This window comes from Homo sapiens, chromosome 13 (assembly GCF_000001405.40).
Source record: "Homo sapiens chromosome 13, GRCh38.p14 Primary Assembly".
In the NCBI taxonomy this organism is placed as follows: Eukaryota; Metazoa; Chordata; class Mammalia; order Primates; family Hominidae; genus Homo; species Homo sapiens.
In genome coordinates, this window is record NC_000013.11 from 44,900,241 (window position 1) to 44,924,998 (window position 24,758).

General features: G+C 44.9%; 1 long non-coding RNA gene and 1 other non-coding gene across 2 annotated transcripts, besides 1 other annotated feature; both read right to left on the reverse strand.

The window, feature by feature from the left end:
* Positions 1-4,911: 4,911 nt before the first annotated feature.
* Positions 4,912-24,740, reverse strand: LOC107984619 (uncharacterized). The gene is made up of 2 exons (XR_001749860.1): positions 23,267-24,740; positions 4,912-5,126 (listed from the first exon to the last, which is right to left on the reverse strand). It is a non-coding gene; the product is annotated as an uncharacterized LOC107984619 (long non-coding RNA).
* On the reverse strand, positions 17,687-17,758 carry TRE-TTC2-1 (tRNA-Glu (anticodon TTC) 2-1). Its single transcript has one exon. It is a non-coding gene; the product is annotated as a tRNA-Glu (tRNA).
* Positions 18,264-18,593: an enhancer, noted in NCBI's record as "active region_7675". NCBI's record gives its function as "activates an Ori minimal core promoter by ATAC-STARR-seq in GM12878 lymphoblastoid cells {active_cell/tissue: GM12878}" and the evidence as "EXISTENCE:reporter gene assay evidence [ECO:0000049][PMID:35858748]".
* Positions 24,741-24,758: the final 18 nt, after the last annotated feature.

Below are 24,758 nucleotides of genomic sequence, written 5' to 3' on the forward strand. Positions count from 1 at the left end.
CCACATTTCCCAGCCTCCTTTGCACTTAAGCATGGCCAGGAGATAAAGTTATGGCCAGTGGGTTGCAAATGGAAGGTATGTGTGCAGCTTCCAGATCATGCACTTGAAAAATGAGTGTCTTCCCTTTCTTTCCTTCTCTGGCTTAAATGTGGATGTGGTAGTGCCAACCATGCAAATGAAAACAACATCCAAAGATGGCAGAACAACAAAGTGGAAGGCAACTGGGTCAACAACCTCATAGCCGCCATGCAGCCCAGATGAGGGGTCAGAAGGTTCCACAAGATAGAACTTTCTATTTTAAGTGACTGTTATTTGGGATCTTTTTTAAAAAATGCCCTTGTAGGCCCCACACTTTTCTACCTTCCCCATTAAGAAAAGTCAGCAGTATCACCTCCATTTTGCTAAACCGAGGTCAAGATAGGGTGTGCCCCTGTTGCTCAATGAAATCAGCAGAAATTCTAGATGTTGAGCCACCGTCTCCTGCGACGCGTTTCCTCGGCTTCTTCGGCCGCCCAAGCTTCTTCTCTTCGTTGAACTATCCTTACCCTTCTTTCAGCTCCTGTCTTGATCTTGCCCGGGGACATTGATAAGCCTGCACAACAGATCTGAATAATGGATACTTTGAGAGACGCTAAGCAGGCTTATCTCCTACTAGCAATATTTTTTACATTCCCAGATGGAATTTGCCCCATTCCTTTTTCTCAGCTTTCCCTGAGGTTTCATTTACCGTACCAAAATAGAAGCACAGTTTCTTTCGCCTTAGAGATGCCTCCAGAACATGTGATCTGAGCTTGTCACTGTGGATTGTTTTCAGGTTATTAGAGACCCCTCAGACATCAAAAATATCAAAGCCCATTCACCATTTGTTGAACAGAGATGATCATCATGTCTCTAAGTAGTCTAAATGAAAGCAGCCAAGAAAAAAGGTGGGGTAAGTCAACTCGTTCCTGCAACAATTGTTTGTCAGGCACCTGCTCAGGTACCATCCTAGGCACTGGGGATACACTGGTGAACAGACAGTCAAGGACACAGAACTCTCATTTTAGCTGGAGAGAGACAGGCAAGGAAGAAGAGAAGGAGGAGCAGAGGAAGAAAAGAGAGGAGAAGGGGAAAGAGAATGGGAAGAAGAAAAATGGAGAAATTTCAGACTGCTAGGAAGACATTCAGTATGCTATGAAGAAAACACAGTGGGTATGGATCAGGGAAGGTCTCTCCCAGGAGACACTGATTGACTTGAAGTTCCAATGACAGGAAGTTGTTGGTCCGGGAAAGGGAGCAGCAGATGCCAAAACCCCCAGGTGGGAACACACTGGGTGTGTTGAGGGGAAGAACCAAGACGCTTATGGCTACAGTGCAGTGAATAAGGGGTGAAGGGCATGAGATGGAGTCAGCTCATACTCCTTCCGGCCCCTCTTTTCACACATTGGAAAGGTCAGGGAAAGAAGCAGTGAGATGCCCACCTTTAACTATTGTTCTTCCCAACAAGAAGAGAGGAGCTGAAGAAACCTCTGTGAGTCTGGGTTCCTGGGCCCAGTCCCCATCTATTCAATGTCCTTTAAAGAATACTCTGCCTGCAGTGTTTACACTTGTACGCGTGGTAATTCTGATAGTGACAATAAGTATTGGTAATTGACAGCATCGCTAAACTTCCATATTGAGTGTATCCTCCTCTTCCAATTCCAACTCCTCTAAGATACATATCTTTCAGCACACTCAGATTGTAAAACCTCCTTTTTATTAAGGCTGAATGTTTAATGGAACAACTAATCCTAAAAGCAAGGCTGAGAGTGACAAAAAAGAATCTTGCCTTGAAACCCCTTTTCTCTGCATTTAGGACATGGCAGCTCAGATAGCCCCATCTCAGCTTTGAGCCACCCAAGACAAGGGTTCCAGTCAGGTCTCTGGGATAGATGAAATGGGCTCATATGACTCTGTCTTCAGACTTCAGGTTTACCTTTGAAATGAACGTAAGTATCTCAGAGACTAATGTCAGCTAATTGGTATGTAAATTATTGAATATACTTTTTCTCTTTTCCTGGAAATCATGATAACTTCTTCCTCTCTCTGCGGCATACCTGTCATTCTCCATAAATTCAAAGAAATCACTGCAGACCTGTCTGTGGTCAGTTATTCATTGCCTGTGCTGTCAATGGGGAAAGCACATGGACTGGCCACAGTCCCTCAAGTCTTGTGGACACAGATACTGTGCAAGTAATGTCTGGGGTGAGAACCATTAGGGAGGAGAAAATCAGGTCCCTTTGCAAACAACCATCTTCAATGTCCAGCCCTGGGCCTAGAGAGCTAGGTGAGTTCTCACCTTGGGTGAGAGTTCTTAAAGGTCTCACCCATCATGAGACATTTGTTCTGTCCTTTAGAGATTATTTTGCTTTGTGATGTATACTGGAGGAAAAAAATAGGAGCAACTAGTTTTGCTTTCTAGCATCCGCCTCCATTACCCTATCTCCCAAAGCATGACCCCATCCCATTTTTCTTACTCCAAACATCATCAAAATATGGGCGATGTAACATAGAAAATGATGTGGAATGGTGGGAAAAGGCCAGCATTTGGCCTGAGATGATCTGGGCTTTCATCCCAGCTTTGCCTCTGAGAAGCCCCTCCACACTCCGAGGATAACTCCCATCCCCACTCTCACGGGTTATTGTGAGGATCAATGTGATCATTTACATGAAAATGCTTTGCAGACCATGGAGCATTATTCTCATGTCAGCTGCTGTTCCACAAGTCGTAGCGTATTCTGGACTTCAGCTTTTCCTGACACTCAGATACAGATTCCTGCTATTCTTTTGTGACACCCTTCATGACATGCCCCTCCTTCCATCTTTTGTTTGTGTTCATTTAAAATCCAGGCTAGAATGGCTTTCCCTCAGCGCCATGCTGGTTCCTTTAACTGCCTCTCTTATTTTCTTCCTTGTTGTTATTTTCTGTAATGTTCCAGATGAGATGTCATTGCAGGCTTCACAACCTTCCCAGGGTCTTTCGGAGTCATCCCCCAATCCAAATCCCAGGCACCCCCCTATTCCATTTTACCAACTTGGAAAATCAGAAAATTCCTTTCAATCCAGATCAGAGTTGTCTCTCTCAGACTGGTGTCAAGTAAAGATTTATCAAACCCTTGGCTTGTCCATGAAGTCTGTCCCGTTTGCTGTGGCCCAGGAGGAACTCTACAGAAGCCAGGGGGTCAGAATTCCTTTTCAGGGTCTGACATGGTGGTTCACAGCCTCACTTGACCAGAACGTTCATCCGCACACTCAAAGTTTTCTTGGCACTTCCAGACCTACTGTGAATCAGGCCCAGCCAAACCAAGAAGCCTTGCTCAGCCTGGCCTTGCTGGCTGCCATGTCTTTGTTCACTGCAGAGCATGACCTCAGCCTCCCAGGCAGTTTGCAGCAGCTGGGGCAAGCTTGAGAGCTGATTTACACTTGGTCTGGGAGGCAAGTCCTCTCTCTCAGGACCTACCAGAGGCAGCTCAAGCACGAGCTTCCTTTCTTCATCCAGGCTGGCCACCACTGACCCTGGTGGCAGCTGGCCAGCCGCATTACTGCCCTCTCTGTTCCTAACAGCCACAGAGGCCTTTGCGTTGAAGCTCTTGGAGTCAAAACAAGAATGTCCTAATCCTCTGCTTGGGAAGCTCCAGCAGTTGCCAGGTGACATCATAGGAGGGGACTGGGGAGAAGTCCTGAGGCAGGCAGGGAAGCAGAAGCTGAGGATTAAGCCGGTGTTTAAGTACAAACATGGGAAAACTCAAGCATACAGAAAGGAAACTAACATCACTTTTTTCCACTTCACTTAAAGAGGTTGCTGGATAATCGCAGTTCAGATGCAACTCCTTCATTAGAGGTGCCTTGTAGCCAGCGACAGTGACTGGGGAAGGAAGCAAGGTGCATGATAAAACACTGGGGTGTTAGGGGAAGGGGAGGAGGGAACATCATGATGCTGGCAAAGACACTATGGAAGCAGGTCCTTCCAAGCTGTGGGCAAACAAGCCAGGGACCCAGCACACTTCAGCTGGGGTTCTTATCCTAGAATCCACAGCTTTCTTCCTGGCCTGGGCGTGTGGTTTCTGGAAACATAGAGAAACATAACCAAAGAGCATCCCAGTAAAACGCATATGGTCCTTGAGCAAAAAGCCCAATCATGGCAGAGTGGTGGCTGTACCCCAGCTCCCAGCCTCTGACCTTTGCTTTACCAAGCACCTCTCTTTAGAGTGACTTATAAGGAATCTCAGAGGGTATGCCTGTGTTTTCAAACAAAGATGCAGAGCTGTTTGGTTACTATGCAGGAATGAGTCTTTCTTCTTTCTTTCCTTTTTTTAGCCTCCTTAATTCAATCTACCCATCTTCCATACTCATTACCAAATGTCACCGAATCCCCTGTGTCAGACAGAAACAACAATTGTTTGCTTGAAACACAGGTTCATTTATATGCTGGAATATGACACATCTTACAAATGGCAAATCGAGAAGCATTCTGAAAAATAAGCACTGGCTGGGAAAAAAAATGTAACTTTATATTGTCCAAAACACTCAACGGGGAAATGCCATTATTTTCACTTGCTGCAATCAGAGCCATCAATAGACCTCATCTTTTTTAATTCTGAGTACTTTTTAAAAAGTGTGTCCGTTTAGGTTCTGGCAACTAAAGCCTGAGGATTTTGTTGTTGTTTTGGTCACAATTTCGGAACTGTTTAAGGATTTTCTTGGAGTTATTTAAGAAAGTGGCCCCTTTTCTTCTTTCTTTCTTTATTTTGTTTTGTTTTGTTTTGTTTTATGGAAATATTGACCCATCAGGTTTTACTTAAATCCTCCTTGGTTATGGGCCTCCGAAGACAAAGCCATATCCATGGCAACCACAGGCCACACAGCAGAAGAAAGAACACATCCAGACACAGCGCATAATAGCTCTGTTTACTGATGACTAAGATCTTGAAAGCACTACTGTACATTCCAACTCCCAGCTCAGGGCAGGACTCCAGCCCGTCCTCATCTTCCAAGTCCAGCATCTATAATCAGAGCCACAGAAAGGGAGAGAAGCCCTTTTCCCAGCCCTGGTCTGCTCCTCCCTGGGGGTGAGGGATATGCCGCTTCCATCAAGGCTCTCGATGGTCCTGCAAGAAACAGTAGGCCAAAATGAGAGGGAGGCTGGATAGGGACGAGTTATGTGGGGAAGTACTGGAGCCCTTACAGTTCTAGGGGTTTCTCTGCCTAATTCTAGCTGTGGTGGCTGCCTTCTGAGGTCGGCCCTGCAGAAACAGCCTCACACTGAGGCCATGCTCCAGAGACAGGCCTTCAGACCCCGAGAGGTACTTGAACACACAACAGCAAGTTCAAGTTCACATTCAAGTGTTTTGTGACTTACCCTTTGACCCCTTCACACACCAGCATACCTCATTCCATCACTCTTTTCCATGTGCCAATAAAATCCTGGTAAACACATAAGCCCAAGTAAAAGGCTGTGCACACCAAGTGCCTCCCAGCTTCCTGACACACGGACACAAAACAAGAATGGATACAGCTCTCCTCAAACTGCTAAACAAGAACAAAGAAGTCTCAGGCTTGCAAAGATCTCTCAGGCAGCCCAGCCGTTCCTCTGGAAAATGAGTTCGTCAGAAAAAAACACTTGGAATGGAAAGGACTCAAGTCCAGAGGGCTTTTATTTAAACCCCAAACACACAGAGCCCTCTACGGTAAGGTTTCAGGTGCCCAGATCTGGGAGGCAGGGGCCACGGAAGATGGGGAGCAGCCAGGGGCCTGCGATCCAATCCCATGTGCCCTGCAGGGACTCCCAGGCAATGAGAAAAGCCATCTCTATGGCTCGTGAATTGTGGAAGCCACTGCTAAGGGGAGGAAGAAGGAACAGAATCAGTGCTTCATTTGCAGCAGCTTGAGTTTTTATCTGTTTTCTGTGTGTGATTCTACATGCATATTTGATTGAATTTTTTAAAAGTTCCAGCAGTTAAAACACCTTGAAAATCACAGTTTGAGAAAAGAAGAGGAATAGCAGGAGGAGGAGGAGGGAGGAGGGGTAGGAATACAGGTGTGCCAACTGGGCGGCATGCACACACACACACATTAGCTAATTTAGCCATCATCCCATTAACCTTATCAGGCAGGCACTGTGTGTTCTATTGCTTTCTATAGATGATGCCGGGATTTGAACAAAATACAGAACTTTCCCCAAGGTCACACATTGGCAGAGTCATCCCAAGTCATGCATCAAGGCTGACGCTGCTCCCCAGGGCTAACTAACTCTCTCCCCTCCCCACCAGCTTTATTTCTCTGCAAACTTGTAGCTGTTTGCATATGATTACAGAAAATAGGAAAGGTAACCTAAAGAAAGGTAACACGGGCTGGGACAGCTCTACCAAGAAATTCCAAATATTAAGCGCTTGCTAATGTGCAGTACTCTCCAGGCTGAATCAGTCACTGTGACAACCTTTGATGGCAAATGTATTCTGACTTCTAAAAGCTCCATCCTGAAAAGCAGGACTCTCTGTTTCTTGTCATCAGTGCCTGAGGTACTCTTTTAGATCTCCGTGCTTTGGAGATGTTTAAGCTGCTCCAATTTTTACCATTACAGAGAACTTCGTAGAATTGCTGGGAATTGGAGCCAGCTCTCTATGCACAGGGAATTTTCCACAGTGTCCTTGCCAGAAAGGGAGCGTGAGCTCAAGTTACAAGGCCAAGTGAAAAGGATTTGTGAAGGTTTCCTTTCAGAGCCGTGTGCTGGGCAACCACTTACAACGAGGAACCAGCTTTTGGACTCAAAACGGCTGGTGAAAGTAGCCAAGGCTCTGTGCCCAGATCTGCTGGCTTTTTTATAATTTGAACTAGTTGGAAAACTCACTAGAGAAGGTTGGGTTTAGCAGGAGCATCAGGGCTGCCAGAACGGGGGAAGTAACAATGCCCCAGTATCAGGCTTTTTGCTTGGTGTCTGGTCATTGAGTTCATTTTGCTTGCCAGGGGCTTATGGATCAAGCAGAAGCTGGAGAATGAATCTGTGACACGAACTTCATAAAGAATCTTGCACTGGCTGCACGGTTGATCCCTCAGAACATCTCCAAGGGTTGTTGAACTTGTTTCACCCAGTTCAACTTTGGGTGAAACAAGGAAGCAATTGGTGGTGAGGAAGGGAACAGAGAACTGCGATGCCAGGGACTCACATCTACACCTGGTCACTCAAAACTAAAGAACCAACAGAATACAGCAGCTGCTTCGTCTATGTGCTGATGGAGCAGTGGAAGCATAGGTATTCTCTTCCAGGCCCTCTGACTCCTTTCTACCACTGACTCCCAAGCCAATCACCCTCATTCAGCAGTGACCTACCTTTGTCTTTGTGTCATGCACTTAGGTCCGCTGGCAGATTGTTGTGGTAGTCAGCGTATTGAACCCACATAATCTATAGGTTCCTTATGTTTATTCTTCTCACTAAACTTTTTAAAACTTTGTTTTGAAATAATAATAGGCTCACAAGAAGTTGCAGAACGCTTAAAATTTAACAATAATTTACTTGAGATAAGACCCGTAGCTTTTGTTTGTTTGTTTGTTTGTTTGAGACAGAGTCGCTCTGTCGCTCAGGCTGGAGTGCAGTGGAGCAATGTCGGCTCACTGCAACCTCCGCCTCCCGGGTTCAAGTGATTCTCTTGCTTCAGCCACCCATGTAGCTGAGATTAAGGGGCCCGCCACCATGCCTAGCTAATTTCTGTATTTTTAGTAGAGATGGGGTTTCACCATGTTGGCCAGGCTGGTCTCGAACTCTTGACCTCAAGCGATCCACCTGCCTCAGGCCTCCCAATGTGCTGGGATTACAGGTGTGAGCCACCATGCTAGGCCTAGAGCTGTGGTCTTACTCACTGTATCTTCCTTTCTTGGAGGTCTGTTTGCTCTATGGGGGACACAACATGAGGACAAGAGTAACAGGAGACTAGACATTCATGAACACTTAGGGTCTAACTTTCTTACAAGCAGAATGATTTTATATATATATATATTTATATACATATATGAATACACACATATATATGTGAGAGACAACCACTCTGGAGAAGAAATCCATATATATACATACATATATATATACACACACACACACATACATATATATGTGAGAGACAGAACCTCTCTCTAAATATCCAAGCTTTTCATTCTGTTTTTATTATTGCTGAGCCTCCTAGGAAGTGAATTTTATTTTCCCTTTTTATTACTGTATTTGTCATATCTGACATTGGCCTCTTTCCAGCTTGTGAAAGTACCAGTTGTTTCTGCTAACCCTTAAATAAGAGCTCAAATTATTGTAATTCTCGATATAGAAATTCATTCTGATAAATCTCCCCAGGGCCTTCCACACCCAGCTAAGGAATAGCAGACCAAGACTCCACCTTACAAGAATTTAAGTTTAAAAAATAAATAAATAAATAAACAAACAAAACACCTTCAATTTTCATTTGCGAGAGAATAAGGGAAGGTGCACTCTGACAAGAGGGAAGTTACCCAGAGGAAAAAAATCAACGGGATCTAGGTTATGCGGTTAAAAAGTCTTCAAATGCTAGAGAAGAGCATTTTGTGAGTGGTTGACACTTTTTGTTTACTAAAAAATATCACCTATAACCAAAATAGCATTTCCTGTGCAAGGCCCAAGGCATCTAGGTTTCGTTTCAGGGTGAGAAGAGGGACCACCCGCCTTGCCCTGGGGGAGGGGAGGAAGTGGTGCAGCACAGCTGGCTTGGAATCTTGTCCCTTCTCTGCCATCATTGCGGGTGATGCTGTTGTTCATCATTGTTCATAATCTGTATCTTTGCCCTTCTTTGATACTTGATGTATCAAAGATGTAGATTTCTGGAAGTAGAATTACCAAGTGAAAGGAAAGGCATGCTTATGGCTCTTACTATGTATTACATGCTAAGCAACTTTCCACGAAATGTGTACCAATTCACCTTCCCAGTGTATCCCACAGTCACACGCAGAGCCTGCAAGATGCTAAGTGCCAACATTAAAGCATTTACAAAATTATTGCAGGGTCTTTGGGGAGTCAGGTTCTTTGACTGATTCCTCACATAATATAACAAGATCAGAAGGGATTGGAAAATTTGCAGGCTTTATTGACCAAGACTTGTGAAAAATGGAGTAACAAGCACCCCAGACCCCCTGTTAGCTCATACTGTAATGTTGCAAACATTAAAAATCACATCTTCCTCAAGGCACTTTACTCCATCTGTCGGAAAATGATCATAATAAATATCAAATCTACAATGACTGCAATGGACAGGCAGGTCCTTTGAGCCATGTGGTGCACATTTGCTACTCTCAAGATGTCTGCCACTGCAGGTCTAGAGGATTCTATGCCAAAGTTTATCTCTGTCACTGAAGGCCAGATACACGACAGAACCTGTCACACCTGCTGGTGCACACACTCAGTCTCCCTCCTTCCTCCACCACTCCGTGATCGCACCAGCCAGGCACTGCTCAGTTAGAAAACCCCTAAGCCTCCTATTTGCCTGGAAATTACAGTTGCCCCCAGAGGTGTCTGCTTTCAAAGGTGTTCCAGTCTGTGTTTCCTGCCCTCTTAGGTTGCTCCATTTAGATATCCCAGCAGTGCCTCAAATTTGTCAGAGGAGACAAATCTCATTCTCTCTGCCCCACTTCTCTGTCTCTCTGGGGATGCTTATCATCTTGGGGTTGTCAACAAATCATCCCTTCCCTTCACGCCCCACCACCAAGCTGTTGCCAAATTCTGATTATTCCTCCTTCACTTCTCTTAGTGTTTCGCTCTCTCTCCACCTCCCCTGAATCAATTAACCCCAATCAGGACATTAATGAGCACAGGTTATGGAAAATTACTCCAACTTCTGATAACTGTCAAGTTTACTGCTCCTACCTTAGACTCAATGAACACATTGAAGACAATCCCCCTGTATGAGTGCTTACAGTGGAAAACAGCACTGGATGGAGAGGCACCCAGGGGCAAGAAATAAATGGTGAGGTCGATGCTTAGATTCGCTAAGCTTATGCATAATGAGAGAGTCAGGTGGAAGGTGGTGCAACTGCACGGGCTGCAGGTGTTCAGCCAACAGAGCCAAAACCCACTGGGGGCTTCCCTGACAACAGCAAGGTGAGCTCCCCAGGTCCACTGTTAAGTGCTGCAACATCTAGGCAAAGTTCTGACAGGCCCCCCTTTGCTGCACACAGCAGCATTCCAATTCTGCAACTGCTTTGAAGCTTCCAGTGGAAATCCTAATGCGGGCGTCATCCCCGCAACTAACCTGCAGTTCTGATGACGCAGAAATCCCCAGCATCAGATTCACCCCAAGGACCTACTGTTTCCATTTTAAAATTCAGGGCACACAAGGCAGGCCTCCCATAAAAGCTGCTGCTCCTCCCAGCCCCTCCTTACCCCTCTTTTGGGAACTTCCCCTTGGAAAGTTGGGAGAAAAGATGGAGAGAGGTCAGAACCAGCATGTTCCAGGTTTCCCCTGAGCTGCTGCTCTGAACACTTACCTATCTTTTGGCAAACAGTTTGTGGCAATAGACAATCCTTCTTCCTTCATCTCTACTGAAAAGAAAACTGGAAGAAATAATGAGTGGTAGGCCAGGTGTCGTGGCATACACTTATAGTCCCAGCACTTTGAGAGGCTGAGACAGGCAGATCATCTAAGATCAGGAGTTCAAAACCAGCCTAGCCAACATGGTGAAGCCTCATCTCTACTAAAAAATACAAAAATTAGCCAGGTGTGGTGGTGCATGCTTGTAATCCTAGCTACTCAGGAGGCTGAGGCAGGAGAATCACTTGAACCCAGGAGGTGGAGGTTGCAGTGAGCCAAGATCACGCCACTGCACTCTCGCCTGGGTGACAGAGCGAGATTCCATCTCAAAAAACAAACAAAGAAAAAAAAGAATTTGGCTTTGCCCAAAGAGAGGTCTGGCCTTTGCCTTCATCTTCTGGGATGAAATCTATGTCATTTCTCATAGGAGGATCTTTGTTTAAGGCAGGGGCTGATCCCTTCAGATTGTAGGGTGGGGCTGGCCATACTCAGTAGTCTTAGGGTGGGAGGTAGTCGTGCTAGAAAGACCAACCATGTGCCTTAGAGTGGGGGCTTTGTGTCACATGGTATCACTCAAGCTGGAGGCTGAGTTCAATCACACAGACAATCAATCAATCATGCGTACATAATGAAGCCCCAATAAAAACTCTGGATAACAAAGTTCAGGTGAGCTTCCCTGGTTGTCAATACTGCATGTATCTTGTCACACATTAGTATCAGGAGGGCCCACACACTCCACATGGAAAGAGGGCAACAGAAGTTTTGCAGTTAGAACCCTCCCAGACTCTGTCCCTTCCTTTGGCTGATTTCAGTCTCTGTCTTTTCCCTGCAGTAAACCATAACTGTGAATATTGCAGCTTCCACTGAGTTATTGGAATCTTTCTAGAACATCATCAAACCTGAGGGTGGTATTGGAAACTCCCCCAAACTTGCAGTTGGTGTTAGAAGTGAGGGCAGTCTTGAAACTGTGCCCTCAAATATTGCAGATTTGCTAAATCTGGGCAAATAGCCTTAAAGCAAAGCATACTGTGATCTGGGTTAGTCCACAAGGAAAACTTTATTTTAGGACAAAATTGCCAAATTCTGAAAATGAGGGTTCTGGAATCCATCTCAAGAGACCTCTTAAAACAGTCTCATCTTCCTTCCAAGGTGTGGTTTGTGCTGACCACAGCAGAGCACCAGCCAGAAGGCCCTAGAGTCCAGAAGGTCCTCATCCAGGGGGTGGACCTCTCTCCACCCCTAAACCTCCAGAGCTTTCCCATCACATTTAGAATGAAATCCAACCCTCTTACCCTTTTTGTGTGTTTGTGCGTGTGCTATTTCCCACTACAGTGTAAATCTAGATAACTGCCAGCACATACTAGACACACTGTAAATGTTTGCTGAATACATGAATAGCCCAAATATAAAGAATATAGAAATGCTTATTTTTGCCAGCAAGATTTCATCTCTGGCTTAATTTTTTCTTAATTGAGATATAATTCAGATTCCATACAATTCAGTCTTTTACAATTCAGGGCTTTTTAGTATGTTTACAAAGTTGTGCAACCTTGTAAATATGGTAAATCACCACTCTTTATGTTAAACTACCACTATTTTAATTTCTCTGGCTTAACTTTAATACCAGTTCATCCTTCCTCTCTACCTTGTGGTTCTAATAGGAGCTGCCAATCATAATACCCCATATTCATCAACCCTAGGCAGGGCCCAGGGCCTAGGCGAGGTCACATTCCCCCAGCACTTTCCAACAGAAACTAAGAAAGACCTTCCTTCTCGGGTGGGGAAGCTGGGAGGAATGAGTACTGAGCCAGAGTGCCCAGATCCCTTGCCATGTGGAAGCAGTTGGTCCATGATAGCTAAGAATAAATCTGACACACAGAGAGAAAACACTGATTCTGATTGTCCCCAAGGCCAGCCATCCCATTCTACTTCACACAGTTTGGTTACATTAGCCAACAATCCTCCCCTAGTGGAGTTCCAATGGCTTTCTGTAACTTGAAACTTAAGGTATTCCAATCAATAAAGTCCTTGTCCTGCTCACACATCCTTCAACACATGCTTATTAAGTGTTTACTGTGTGCACGGCACTGGCCTTGGAGAGTAAAATCTAGCAGGGCCACAACAAGTGTGGTAAATGCAATGAGAGGGAAATGTGCAGAGAAAGCATCTCACCCACAGTCAGGGCAGAAATGACATCTAAGCTAGGACCTAACTTTAGAAAGGAGTAAGTATAGGAAGAGAAGTACACAAGATGCCATGGGAATCAGAAGCAACCAGCATCCACAGGAGAGGTAAGGGAAGCTATAGGAACCATGTGATGTTCGAATTGAGCCTTAAAGGATGGATAAGATGTAGATATTTAGAGAAAGGGCATAAGAGCGTCTCAAGTAGAAGAAAAATTGAGTAAAGGCCAGATACAGGAAACAGTGTGAAATTAACAGGAATCTAGGATACATGGAGGGAAGAGGTAGGAATTAGGCTGCAAAGGCAGATTGGGAGCACTCAGCAAGACAAAGCTCTTCGGGTTTAGGGCAGGGAAGCAGCATGTTCAGCTCTGCGCTGTAACAGCCAGGAGAATGCAAGATAGAGAAGATGGGCAAGATGGGGTCAGGGAAACCAGTGTGGTGCCTATTGCAATAGTCCAGAGAACAAGATGATTTAAACCAGCAGAGTGGCCAGGGAAGTAGATAAGAATATATGTGAGCATAACTGAAGAGGTAGAAATAAGATTTAATAAAATAATAAAATAAATAAATAGTAAAATAAAATAAGCTTTAATTAGACGTGGTGCGAGTGGAGGAGAAAGAGGGACTAAACATGCCAATGATGACAATGATGATGATGGTGATGATGATGACGGTGATGGCCTTAAACTGGGCTAAGCCTTTTATGCGCATTATGTCATTTAATCTTCACAACCCTATGAAGTAGGTCCCATTCTTATCCCCACGTTAGATTCTAGAAAACTGAGGAACAGAGAGATTAAGTAACTCAAACAAGGAGATCTTGGATGACACTAAAAAATAAGTAATCCAAGTAGAAAAGGACTTGGGAAGGAGAAAGAGGTCACTTTTGCACATACTGTGTTGAAGTTGCCTATTTGCATAAAGCTGAGCCCCCAACTTCAGTTTGACTGTATCCCTATGAAACAGGAATAGTCTTACCTACATTTTCTTTCTTTCTTTCTTTCTTTTTTTTTTTTTTTTTTTTTTTTTTTTGAAACAGAGTCTGGCTCTGTCTCCCAGGCTGGAGTGCAGTGGTGCGATTTCGGCTCACTACAACCTCTACCTTCCAGGCTGAAGCCATTCTCCCATCTCAGCCTCCTGAGTAGCTGGGACTACAGGCGTGCACCACCAGCTATTTTTTTGTGTTTTTTGTAGAGACGAGGGGCAGGAGGAAGCGATTTGTGTTTTTTGTAGAGACGGGCGGCGGGGAGGGGTAGAAGACGGTGCCGGGGTTGGGAGGGTGTCTCGCTTTTTTGCCCAAGCTGGCCTGGAACTCTTGAGCTCAAGCTATCCACCCACCTCGGCCTCCCAGAGTGCTAGGATTACAGACATGAGCCACCATGCCGGCCATACCTACATTTTCTTAATGAGTACACAACAAGTTGCAAAATCCCAAGCTTTCTTAAATCAGGATAGATTATGTTGATTGCTCCCCCATCTACCATGGCTGTCACTCTGCGACAAAAGGAAATTAGATTCATCTGATAAGCTTTGTTTTTCACAAAGTAATGTGGGATGATTACCCAGTGCCCTGTGGTCTTCTAGAAGTTTGCAAATTGATTTTTTGATTATTTGTTCCAGTGATTTTCCAAGTAGTCAGTGTTTTTCCAAGTTATTCAGCTTTACAGTGTGGGTGAGTTAAAATTCATATTTGCTTTCATATTAATATATGAAGTGTTAATGTAATTATTTAGGATATTTTTGCATGCGGCATCAGATATACTCTGAGGGAACATACATATGAATCTGCATGACTATAAATACACTTGTTGAGGGGCACAAAGCAATTTTCATGTGGAATCCATCAGAGTTTATGACTATATGCAAAAATGAAAGCATACAGGAACACATGGTTAGTTCAAATACCCCAAACAGGTTAAGCTCATCACTTTCTAGAAATGATTATATATGATGAATTTTTTTAAAAAAAAACTTCACGTAGAAAAATTACTACTATGTTTATGCAGCTATGCTGTGAACACTGACCAAAAATACAAGAGAATATTTTTTTGGCCAGGCACGGTGGCTCACGCCTGTAATCTCAGCACTTTGGGAGGCTGAGGCAGGCGGATCACTTGGGGTCAGGAATTCAAGATCAGCCTGGCCAACATGGTGAAATCCCATCTCTACTAAAAACATAAAACTTAGCTGGGTGCGGTGGCGCACACCTAAAATCCCAGCTAGTCAGGAGGCTGAGACCCGAGAATCGTTCCAACCCAGGAGTCAGAAATTGCAGTGAGCTGAGATCGCGCCACTGCACTCCAGTCTGGGTGACAGAGGGAGACCTTATCTCAAAATAAATAAATAAATAAATAAATAAATAAATAAATAAATAAATAAAAATAATTGAATCTTCTCTGCACTCAATCCCCCTAAGCCCCGCTCCTTGACGCCAGGATTTGGAGAGAGTGGTGTCTGGCTAGAGCACCAGACAGGAATTCAATCTTTTGTGGATACAATCTAAAGTCCAATACTAGGGAATCAGAGAAATAAAATCTCAGAATAGATGTTTCCCGGGTAAAACGAGGGTCTAAGTTAAACGACTGCTAAGGGCCTTTCCAGCTCAAATAGTCTATGAATCTAAAGACTATGAGGATGATGAATGGAAGTTATGGCAAAATGTTTTACAAAAAGGGAAAGCCATAAAAATGCCAAATATAACTGAAGTAACCATCTCCCCACAAAGTGAAACCCTTTCATATCATTAAGTACCTGTCTTCAGAAATATCTACTATGCTCTGAGTCCACCAAATATTACAGCCATCTCAAGAAAGCTTCTGTCAAATCCATGAGGTCAAAACTCTATTTTATGAAAATGAATGATTAATAGGATGAGTAGACATGACAGCCTTCATATAAATGGAATTCACCTGCCATCTGAAAGCAGTTTTGTCTTGCTTTTTGGAGACAGGATCTCACTAGCCCAGAATGGAGTGCAGCAGCAATCATAGCTCACTGCAGCCTCGAACTCCTGGCCTCAAGCGATCCTCCCACCTCAGCCTCTTGAGCAGCTAGGACTACAGGCACGCACCACTGCCTGGCAAATTTTTTTTTTTTTTTTATTTTTTTATTTTTGAGACGGTGTCTCCTTACGCTGTGCAGGCTGGTCTTGGTCTCCAATTCCTGCTCGAGTGATACTCCCACCTCGGCCTCACAAAGTGTTGGGATTATAGCCATGAGCCACTGCCCCTGGCCTAAAAACAAGTTTAAAACAAACAAAAACTACACAGCTTCTGCCTGGCAGCCCCCGGCATCAGCTATCCTCCCTGGCCTTGCCCCTTAGGCTCAGGAGCTGTGAGAGCTGCATTACCCCTTCTTGTTTCCCTAAACCCTAAGAAAAACTTAAATAATCCTTGATTAAGCACTCTGCTAAGAATATATCACGAGTTTCCTACAGGGCCGCGATTGATACAGGGATAATAATATCATCTGAGAGTAAAATAATCTAAAATAATAATCAAAAAATAAAAATAGGCCCGGTGCGGTGGCTCACGCCTGTAATCCCAGCACTTTGGGAAGCCGAGGTGGGTGGATCACCTGAGGTCAGGAGTTCTAGACCAGCCTGACCAACATGGGGAAACCCCATCTCTATTAAAAATACAAGATTAGCTGGGCATGGTGGTGGGCCCCTGTAACCCCAGCTACTCGGGAGGCTGAGGCAGCAGACTCGCCGGAATCCGGGAGGCAGAGGTTGCAGTGAGCCGAGATCGTGCCATTGCACTCCAGCCTGGGGGACAAGAGCGAGATCATGCCTGTAATCCCAGCACTTTGGGAGGCCAAGGCAGGGGGATCACGAGGTCAGGAGATCGAGACCATCCTGGCTAACACGGTGAAACCCCGTCTCTACTAAAAAATACAAGAAATGAGCCGGGCGTGGTGGCGGGCGCCTGTAGTCCCAGCTACTCGGGAGGCTGAGGCAGGAGAATGGCGTGAACCCGGGAGGCGGAGCTTGCAGTGAGCCGAGATCGCGCCACTGCACTGCAGCCCGTGCGACATAACTAGACTCCGTCTCAAAAAACAAACAAAAAAAATTATAGTCTTTATTTTAGTCTTTAAATATAGTCTTCATTTTAGATAATCTCATCTAATAACAAAGGGATGCATTTATTTGCATAACAATTGGAAACTGTCACAAGTCAATACTAAGACTTCTAATTCTAATCTAGCATATCACAAATTCTTAAAGTTTTTTTAAAACAATGTGTCAAATAAATATATCAAGAGTAAAATGTTTTGGTTTCGTTTTGTTTTGTTTTGTTTTGCCATCGGCTGGAGCCTCAGTATTTGTTATAACCTAATTTTCTTCCCCGCCTTCCAAACTGGTTTAGTTAACTCTCTGCATCACAAACACAACAAATTGTACATTGAACTACCCTGCCTTTAATATATGTATTTTCTAGAAATCTTGTTGTCCTAGAATGACTTTAGGTAACTTAAAAGCCCTGCAATGCCTCCCTCCCTCTCCCAGCATCCTCCTAACAACAACAAAAAAACCCTATAATGTTCTAAAATTGCATCTTTCCTTTTTCTTTCAAAAAAGAGCACTCTTTTGGTCATTTGCTCATCTTCACAGTACAAGGAGAAAATACTGGAGAAAAACCAGCGGGTGTATTTCGGCATGCGACCGCTTGGTTCCCCCGCTTTCCTTCACCTCTGACCTAATCTCTCACTTCAAAAACTGACTTCAAGCTGTTGCCAGATACGTCCCTTCCGCCGCCTGCCGCAGGTGGCTAGGGTCTGAGCACACTTGAACCTCACACCCGCCCCAGGGGTAGCTCCTTGGTTCCCTTCAGCCCCGATGTGTCCCTCGTGCTTTGAAATGGAATTACAGTTTTGGTTAAAAACATGCCTTTTCCGAGTTAGGAAGAATCTAAATCGACTGAACGCCAGTCTAAAATTTCGGCGTTCCCACACCGGGAGTCGAACCCGGGCCGCCTGGGTGAAAACCAGGAATCCTAACCGCTAGACCATGTGGGAGACGGCAATAGCGACTCCAAGCCTAGACAAATTGAGTCTTCTCGGTCGGCTTCCGCCCACTCCATCGCGTTCATCCGTAGGCGTCAAACCTGCTCCTGCGCCTGCGCGGAGTCTGCAGCGGTTTAAACCGTTCAGGTTCGCATTCTACTGTTTCTCTCCTTGCAGGGGCCCTTGAATCTTTCTTCAATCTACTCTCGCGTCTTTCGTGATCTCATCCAGTCTCCTGGTGCTAGGTACCATGTCGACACCAATGTAGACACTAGATTGGATGAGTCATTGTTCACAATTCCTCACAAAACTCCTGCAAAGTCCAAAAGAACTGGGGTTTGAATGTTAGAGGCTGGTGAAGAAGTGAGGACCACGGGGCGTCATAACACCGCGCAGTGGAGGCCACGCTGCACTGGCCGGTGTCCGCCGACAGGGTGTGTGCCACAGACGCGCAGTGCCTTGCCCGAATCTGTCCCTCCCCTCAGCGCTGGTCCAGGCTGGCCACAGGCACCACCCCGTCCCTGAAAGTGGATCTTTTCCTCTGAAAAAACAGGAATGAGAACTGCCCGGAAGCCTGGAACATTCCAGGTTCTGATGACTCAGCGGCTGAAGGCAGGATTTGTGTCACCGAAAGCAGCCAGAGTGGCGGTCTGTAAATGTAGCTTAGAAAAGTGGAGAAAGTCTCTTACTGCAGGCGTTCATGATAGATGGAAACTCCGTGTGGTTTCCAAGGCCCTCCTCGATTTGAAGCATTTCAAGGGAGCGGTTGATGCCTTAGCAGTCTACTGTTTGAATTAGGGAAATGCAAAGAGTCAGCCATTGGGGATAGCCGGCGGAGAGGAGCTGTGGCTCTGGTGTCCTCAGTGGCTTAAGCTACACATAAGTTGTGTTTACTAGCAGAAACTGTGTTAATGGAAGTCTGGGGACAAATTGTGGAAGTTTCGAACAGTTCAACTAGCAGAGGACACTTTGAAGCCCACTTAAAAGCTAAGATCACTCCTCACACCCCCAACTGCCGCAGGGACTTAGAAGGTCCTCCTTCTCCCTCTCAGGCTAAGGTTCATCTGTGACATTCATCCTCAACAGAGGAGGGGCGAGAATAGACTGGAAATAGAAATTGTTCTGCCTCGCACTCATTACCACGAAGAAGCTCCCCAACAGGGAATGAACGCAACCCAACATAATTAAAAGTGAATATGGGCCGGGCGCGGTGGCTCACGCCTGTAATCCCAACACTTTGGGAGGCTGAGGAGAGTGGCTCACATCTGAGGTCAGGAGTTCGAGGCCAGCCTGGCCAATGTGGAGAAACCCCCGTCTCTATTAAAAATGCAAAAATTAGCCGGGCGTGGTGGCGCACGCCTGTAATCTCAGCTACTTGGGAGGCCGAGGCAGGGAGAATCGCTTGAACCGGGGAAGTGGAGGTTGTAGTGAGCTGAGATCATGCCACTGTACTCCAGCCTGGGTGACAGAGTAAGACTCTGTCTAAAAAAAAGAGAAAAGAAAAAAAAATGGGAATGTGGCTCTGAAAAAAACCAGAAGCATTGACAGCAAACCTACTCTGTGTATCAGACACATTCAAATGTGTTTATTTAATCCTCATAGTGTACCTATGAGGTAGGTCTTACCCACATTTTAGTTGGTTCTTCCTGTACTATCTTTGAACAGAGTACAGAGTTTCTTAATCAGACAACTGCTTTCCTTTTGAGGATATTTGCTTTGGAACACCAAAGAAAACTCTCCAAAACAAACGCCCTCAACTACGGAATACCTGACATCTGTGGTTCTCAATTTGAGGGCTCAGATTTCATAAATACTTTTCAGTTTTATATTTCCCTTTGATGATAATTCTTTTTAAAAAAGACATCTTACAGGTTTTCAAGATCTAATTTCTCACAGTAACCCATCCATTGGACGGGCACCATCCTTAGGATGTAACCAAAATGTGAATTTACTCTTGGTTTCTCACGATCACTAAACTGAAATTTGTTCCATTTTTCTCTTTACCAGTGGATGAAAACTCAAGCAGTAGCAGAAAGCCCTATGGTCACTTTATTTTTATTGTTTATTTTGAGACAGGGTCTCACTCAGTGACCCAGGCTGGAGTGCAGTGGCTTGATCTCGTCTTACTGCAGCCTTGACTTCCCAGGCTCAAGTGATCCTCCCATCTCAGCCTCCCAAGTAGCTGGGACTGCTGGTGGCACTCACCACCAAGCCCAGCTAATTCTTGTCTTTTTTGTAGAGACAGGGCTCCACCATGTTGCCAAGGCTGGTATCGAACTCCTGGGCTCAGGAGGCCCACTTTGGCCTCCCAAAGTGCTGGGAGCCCTGTGGCCACTTTAAGTAATAAAACACAATCCAGCGCAATACACTGTTTAACAGCTCAGTCCTCATTCTCAAATAGTTTGCCCCAGCCCAACTTGGGCATGATTTCCAGCTCGAAGTGGTGGTTTGCTGGAGCAGGCTCTTACTGCCTCACAGGAGCCCATGGTGGGCTTCTCTTCCTAACTCTGTGTTCAGTGACATCATATTGGTAGCCTGAGATGGCCACACTGGGAGTATTTACCCCATGGAAATAGGTAAATGCTACAAGGCAGGGCTTTTTCCTTGAAAAGCCAGTGTGCTGGTCAAAAAATAGCAATGTGCTGGTTAAATATCACACCAGGAATGAGCCACTTCTTTCTTTCTTTGGCCTTCTGCCTTTCGAGGCTCTGGGGTCCTCCAAGATTGGAGTGTGGGGAGGGGAACGAAAAGGGGCACAGGGCCGGGTGTGGTGGCTCACGCCTGTAATCCCAACACTTTGGGAGGCCAAGGCGGGTGGATCACATGAGATCAGCAGTTCAAGACCAGCCTGGCCAACATGGTGAAACGCCGTCTCTACTAAAAACACAAAATTTATCCGGGCACAGTGGCAGGTGCCTGTAATCCAAGCTACTTGGGAGTCTGAGGCAGGTTAATTGCTTGAACCGGGGAGGCGGAGGTTGCAGTGAGCCAAGATCGTGCCACTGCACTCTAGCCTGGGCGACAGAGTAAGACCTTGTCTAAAAAAAAAAAAAAAAAGTGGGGGTGGGGCACAGAAGTTCCTACTCAACTGGCATTGTCCAATGTCAGCTTCCAGCTCTCTGGGCCTAAACTTGTTTTAGGGCTGACTCCTTTTCTCAGTGGTACTCTGTGGGTTTCTCAAAGGCTTCCCTGGGCCTCTTGGACAGGGCCTCACAGAAGGGGGTAGCAGTGTTTGCCCCGTGTGGGCCTCAGATCACTGGTATTAGGATCGTCAGTGGCTTTTTTCACCTGCAGATTCCCAGCCCCACCCACCCAGGACTTACAAATGAGAATCTGAATTTTCACAAGGACTTCCCCCTCCAAATGATTCTGATGCCAGTAGAGTTTGAGCAACAATGAACCACACGACAATAAATCCCCTTCAGTCGCTAAAAGCCCATGATCCCTGAAGCACAGTTTCTATCATTTCCTGTTCCTGCTCAAAAGCCTGGAAAAATGGCATCTCGTTGCTTGTTGAGTAAAATCTAAATTCTCTGGGCAAGCTTTCCAGGCTCTCCATAATCCAGCCCTGACATAGCCTGCTAATACTATCCCGCCGCAGCCCTCTTCAGAGGGGCCACATTCCAGATCACCCGACCTGCTCTGTCCTTCCCGTTCCTTTGTTCCACCTTGCTCCACACCACCCTCCCACTCTTCTTTCCAAGCCCGACCTCAATCCCAAGGCCAGCTCAGCCTTTGAAGTCACCTCAGGTCCTCTTGTTCACAAGGCACTCCCTCCCGCTTCCTCTGAATCCCAAAGCACAGACCTTTAAAAAATGGTGATATAAGCTTACGTCTTGCCACCCTTATTATTTCAGTTATTTAGTAGGAAAGTCCATGAATAAAAATCAGATTTTGTAATCCCCCTGGGAACCCAGTCCTGCACTCAATCATTCTGTCACATAGTCCTTCCTTTTATCTAACTTAAATACTTCCTGCTGTACTTCTATATGAAAGCTGCCACCTTTTAACCACCAGCAGGAACAAAATGTTCCTGGGAGGAGGAAAAAAAAAAAAAAAACATGAATTTTTGAAGTTTGGCCAGACCAGTAAGTGAGCTGCATTTCTTTAGTTCCACACACACAAAAAAAAAGCCTTCTTGTTGACACAAGAAACAGTTATTCCTGTTCCCATGCATCTAGGTCTGATTTTCAGTGGGCAACTGTCCCATTTTATCCACCATTTGATACTGGAAAAAAGCCCCAAACACATTGTACTTGCCAGGCATCTCCATTAGCCAAAGCAATCTGGGGTGTGATTCAGGCTTGTGTTTGCCAGTCATTTAGGAGTTAGAATGGTTTCCACTTTAGTAGGCCCAGGAGTCATGCTTTATAAGGCCATCACAAATAAGCACCAATTAAATTCCACTCTCCCAAGAACAGCTCTGGCCAGCACAAACTCAGCCTATGGCACAAGGTTAAACCTCAAAGCTCTCTTGAGTAACAGCACCTGCCCCTGCTGACCAGTGTGAATTAATCTTCATGGCCTAACACTAGGTTCAGTTTCTAAAATAGGGTTTGATCTCAGGAGGCCACTGGAATGACAGAGCTTCCTCGAGGGCTTGTTTAGATCATAGAATTCTGCCCCTCCCCTCTGTGCCAAATCTAGCAACTCCTACTTGTTCTGTGACTCAGGGCAAACATCCTTGAACGCTCAGTGCTGGGTGAGGTGCTCATTCTGGATTATCATTAGGTTGGATGGAGTTCCCTGTTTCCCTTCCTGTGGTAGACAGTAAGCTCCCTCATGGCAGAGTCTGGGTCTTACTCTGTTGTATTCCCAGCTTCCAGCACAGTGCTTGGCACACATAATGACTTAATGAATCAGCATTTTAATATAGTAACAATTTAATTCTCACAATGGCCCAATGAGATAGGTACCAATATTCTTCCCATTTTACAAATTAGAAAACAGAAACATAGGCGATTAAGTAAGTTACAGAAGCAGGATTCAAATCCAGGCATTTCATCTGGGCATAATTACTTAATTAATCTTTTTTTAATATATATATTTTTTTCATGTAAGACTTCCTGCACCAACTTAATGAGTCTCTTAAAATATCTTGGTTTCTTTGGGGATCCTCCTATAAAAGTAACTTTTCCCCTTAAATCAGCATATAACAAGAGAGAACTATTCCTCAGCTAGGTGAAAATATCTCCACAGCATCTTTCTTTACACATCATCAGCACTCAGTGCATGTTTGCATGATTGATCGCTTGCTTCATTCATTCATCCAATAATGAATCAGTCCATCTCAGAGAAATAGTCTTGGTTTCTACCTAGCACCGAAGTGGCAAAGCAAACTAATTGAGAGTCTCAGAAGGCCATAATTTTAATATTTAAGTAACAACAACAAAGAACAAGAAACTACATCCCTGTCTCCTAATATCGCTGGCACACACTCTCTTTCTTCCCCTACCTTCCCTTCACCTGATCTGATAGCCCAAGACAGGAAGAGCTTCACCAGCCCATCATCATACTCACCCTCATTTGTGTGCTCCTACCAGGGCTCAGACCTGGTTTTTCTTCAAGAACACACTTAGGAATTGTGAGTCCAAGCACTTCATGGCCTGACATCCGGAAAACTTGCCCACCATTGTAGGTTCTTGTTCCATGTTGCCGTTGCTCAAATATTGAAATTATGGCCCGCCGAGACCCTCAGTTAATTTGCTTTGCTCCTGAGGTGCTAGGTAGAAATCAAGTTGGACCTTGTATTGGAGGTTAAAGGTATTTCTGGTTTATTTCTGGACTTCTCAGCAGTAGTTCAGAGTGGAGTGAGCTTTCTAAACTCATTTTCTTCTTTCCTCGTGAGATGATCTATCTCAATAATCTTCAATAGGTCCATGGCCAGGGATTATGCCAAGTTTAATGTTCATCATGACTACCCGATATATATTTGACAGTGCTTGATATAAAAACAATAGCTATCACATATAGGATTCACTATGTGCCAGATAATTCTAAACACTTCAATAATTAACAATTTAATTCTCACACTGACCCAATGAGATAGGTACCAATATTATTCCCATTTTACAGATTAGAAAACTGAAACATAGGGAGGTTAAGTAACTTGCCCAAAGTCTGACAACTTATAAATAGTAGATGCGGGATTCAAACCCAGGCATTTCATCTCTGGAGTCTTAATGTATTTTCATATACCTTAATAAATCTACCCCTACTATTATAAGCATATTGCATAAAACAGGGCACTGTCATAAATAATCATAATGATAATGCCTTCAGCAACAATGGCAGCATACATTCTGAAGCCTGATGGCATCTTCAAAGGAGAATGAGGAAGAGGTTATGGGATCTTCTTAAACCAATAAAAATAAACATTTTGTGATCTAAGACTTCATAGATGCTAACATTGGAACGGAGAAGATGTCTGTCCCTGGTCCCTTCTTCCCTCCTCATCTATCCATTTTCAGAAATAGGGGCTGTTCAAAAATAAACTAATGTTTCTCTCTCTCAACCCAGTCTAGAGACAGAAATCTCATCAATTCCCCCTGCAACCTCTACTCAGATAGAGCTTCACTATTGTTCACTGATTGGTTAATTGATTGGTTCATGCAATCAACAAACCAGGCTAGAAGATTCATGAGGCATAAAACATCCTATCCCTCTAAAGCTGCAACCTTCTTGGCATCTACACATGGGCAATTAATGAGGACCTCAGGATTCACATAGCTAAAGCTGAGCTCCTGAGAGTCCATCCCCAACCGCACTCCCCAGCCAGCTCCCTCTGCATCTTCTCCATTCCAGTTAATAGCAGCTTTATTCTCCCCATTGTTCCAAGCCAGAACCCTGGAATCACCCTGGATTCCATTCTCTCTCAGCCTACCTCCAACCCCTCAGAAAATCCTACTGGCTCCATCATGAAAATAGACCCAGAATTGGATCACTTCTCCCATTCCCCTGGTCTGAGCCACCATCCTCTCTCACCTGGGTTAGACTGTGCGCCACCTCCCCA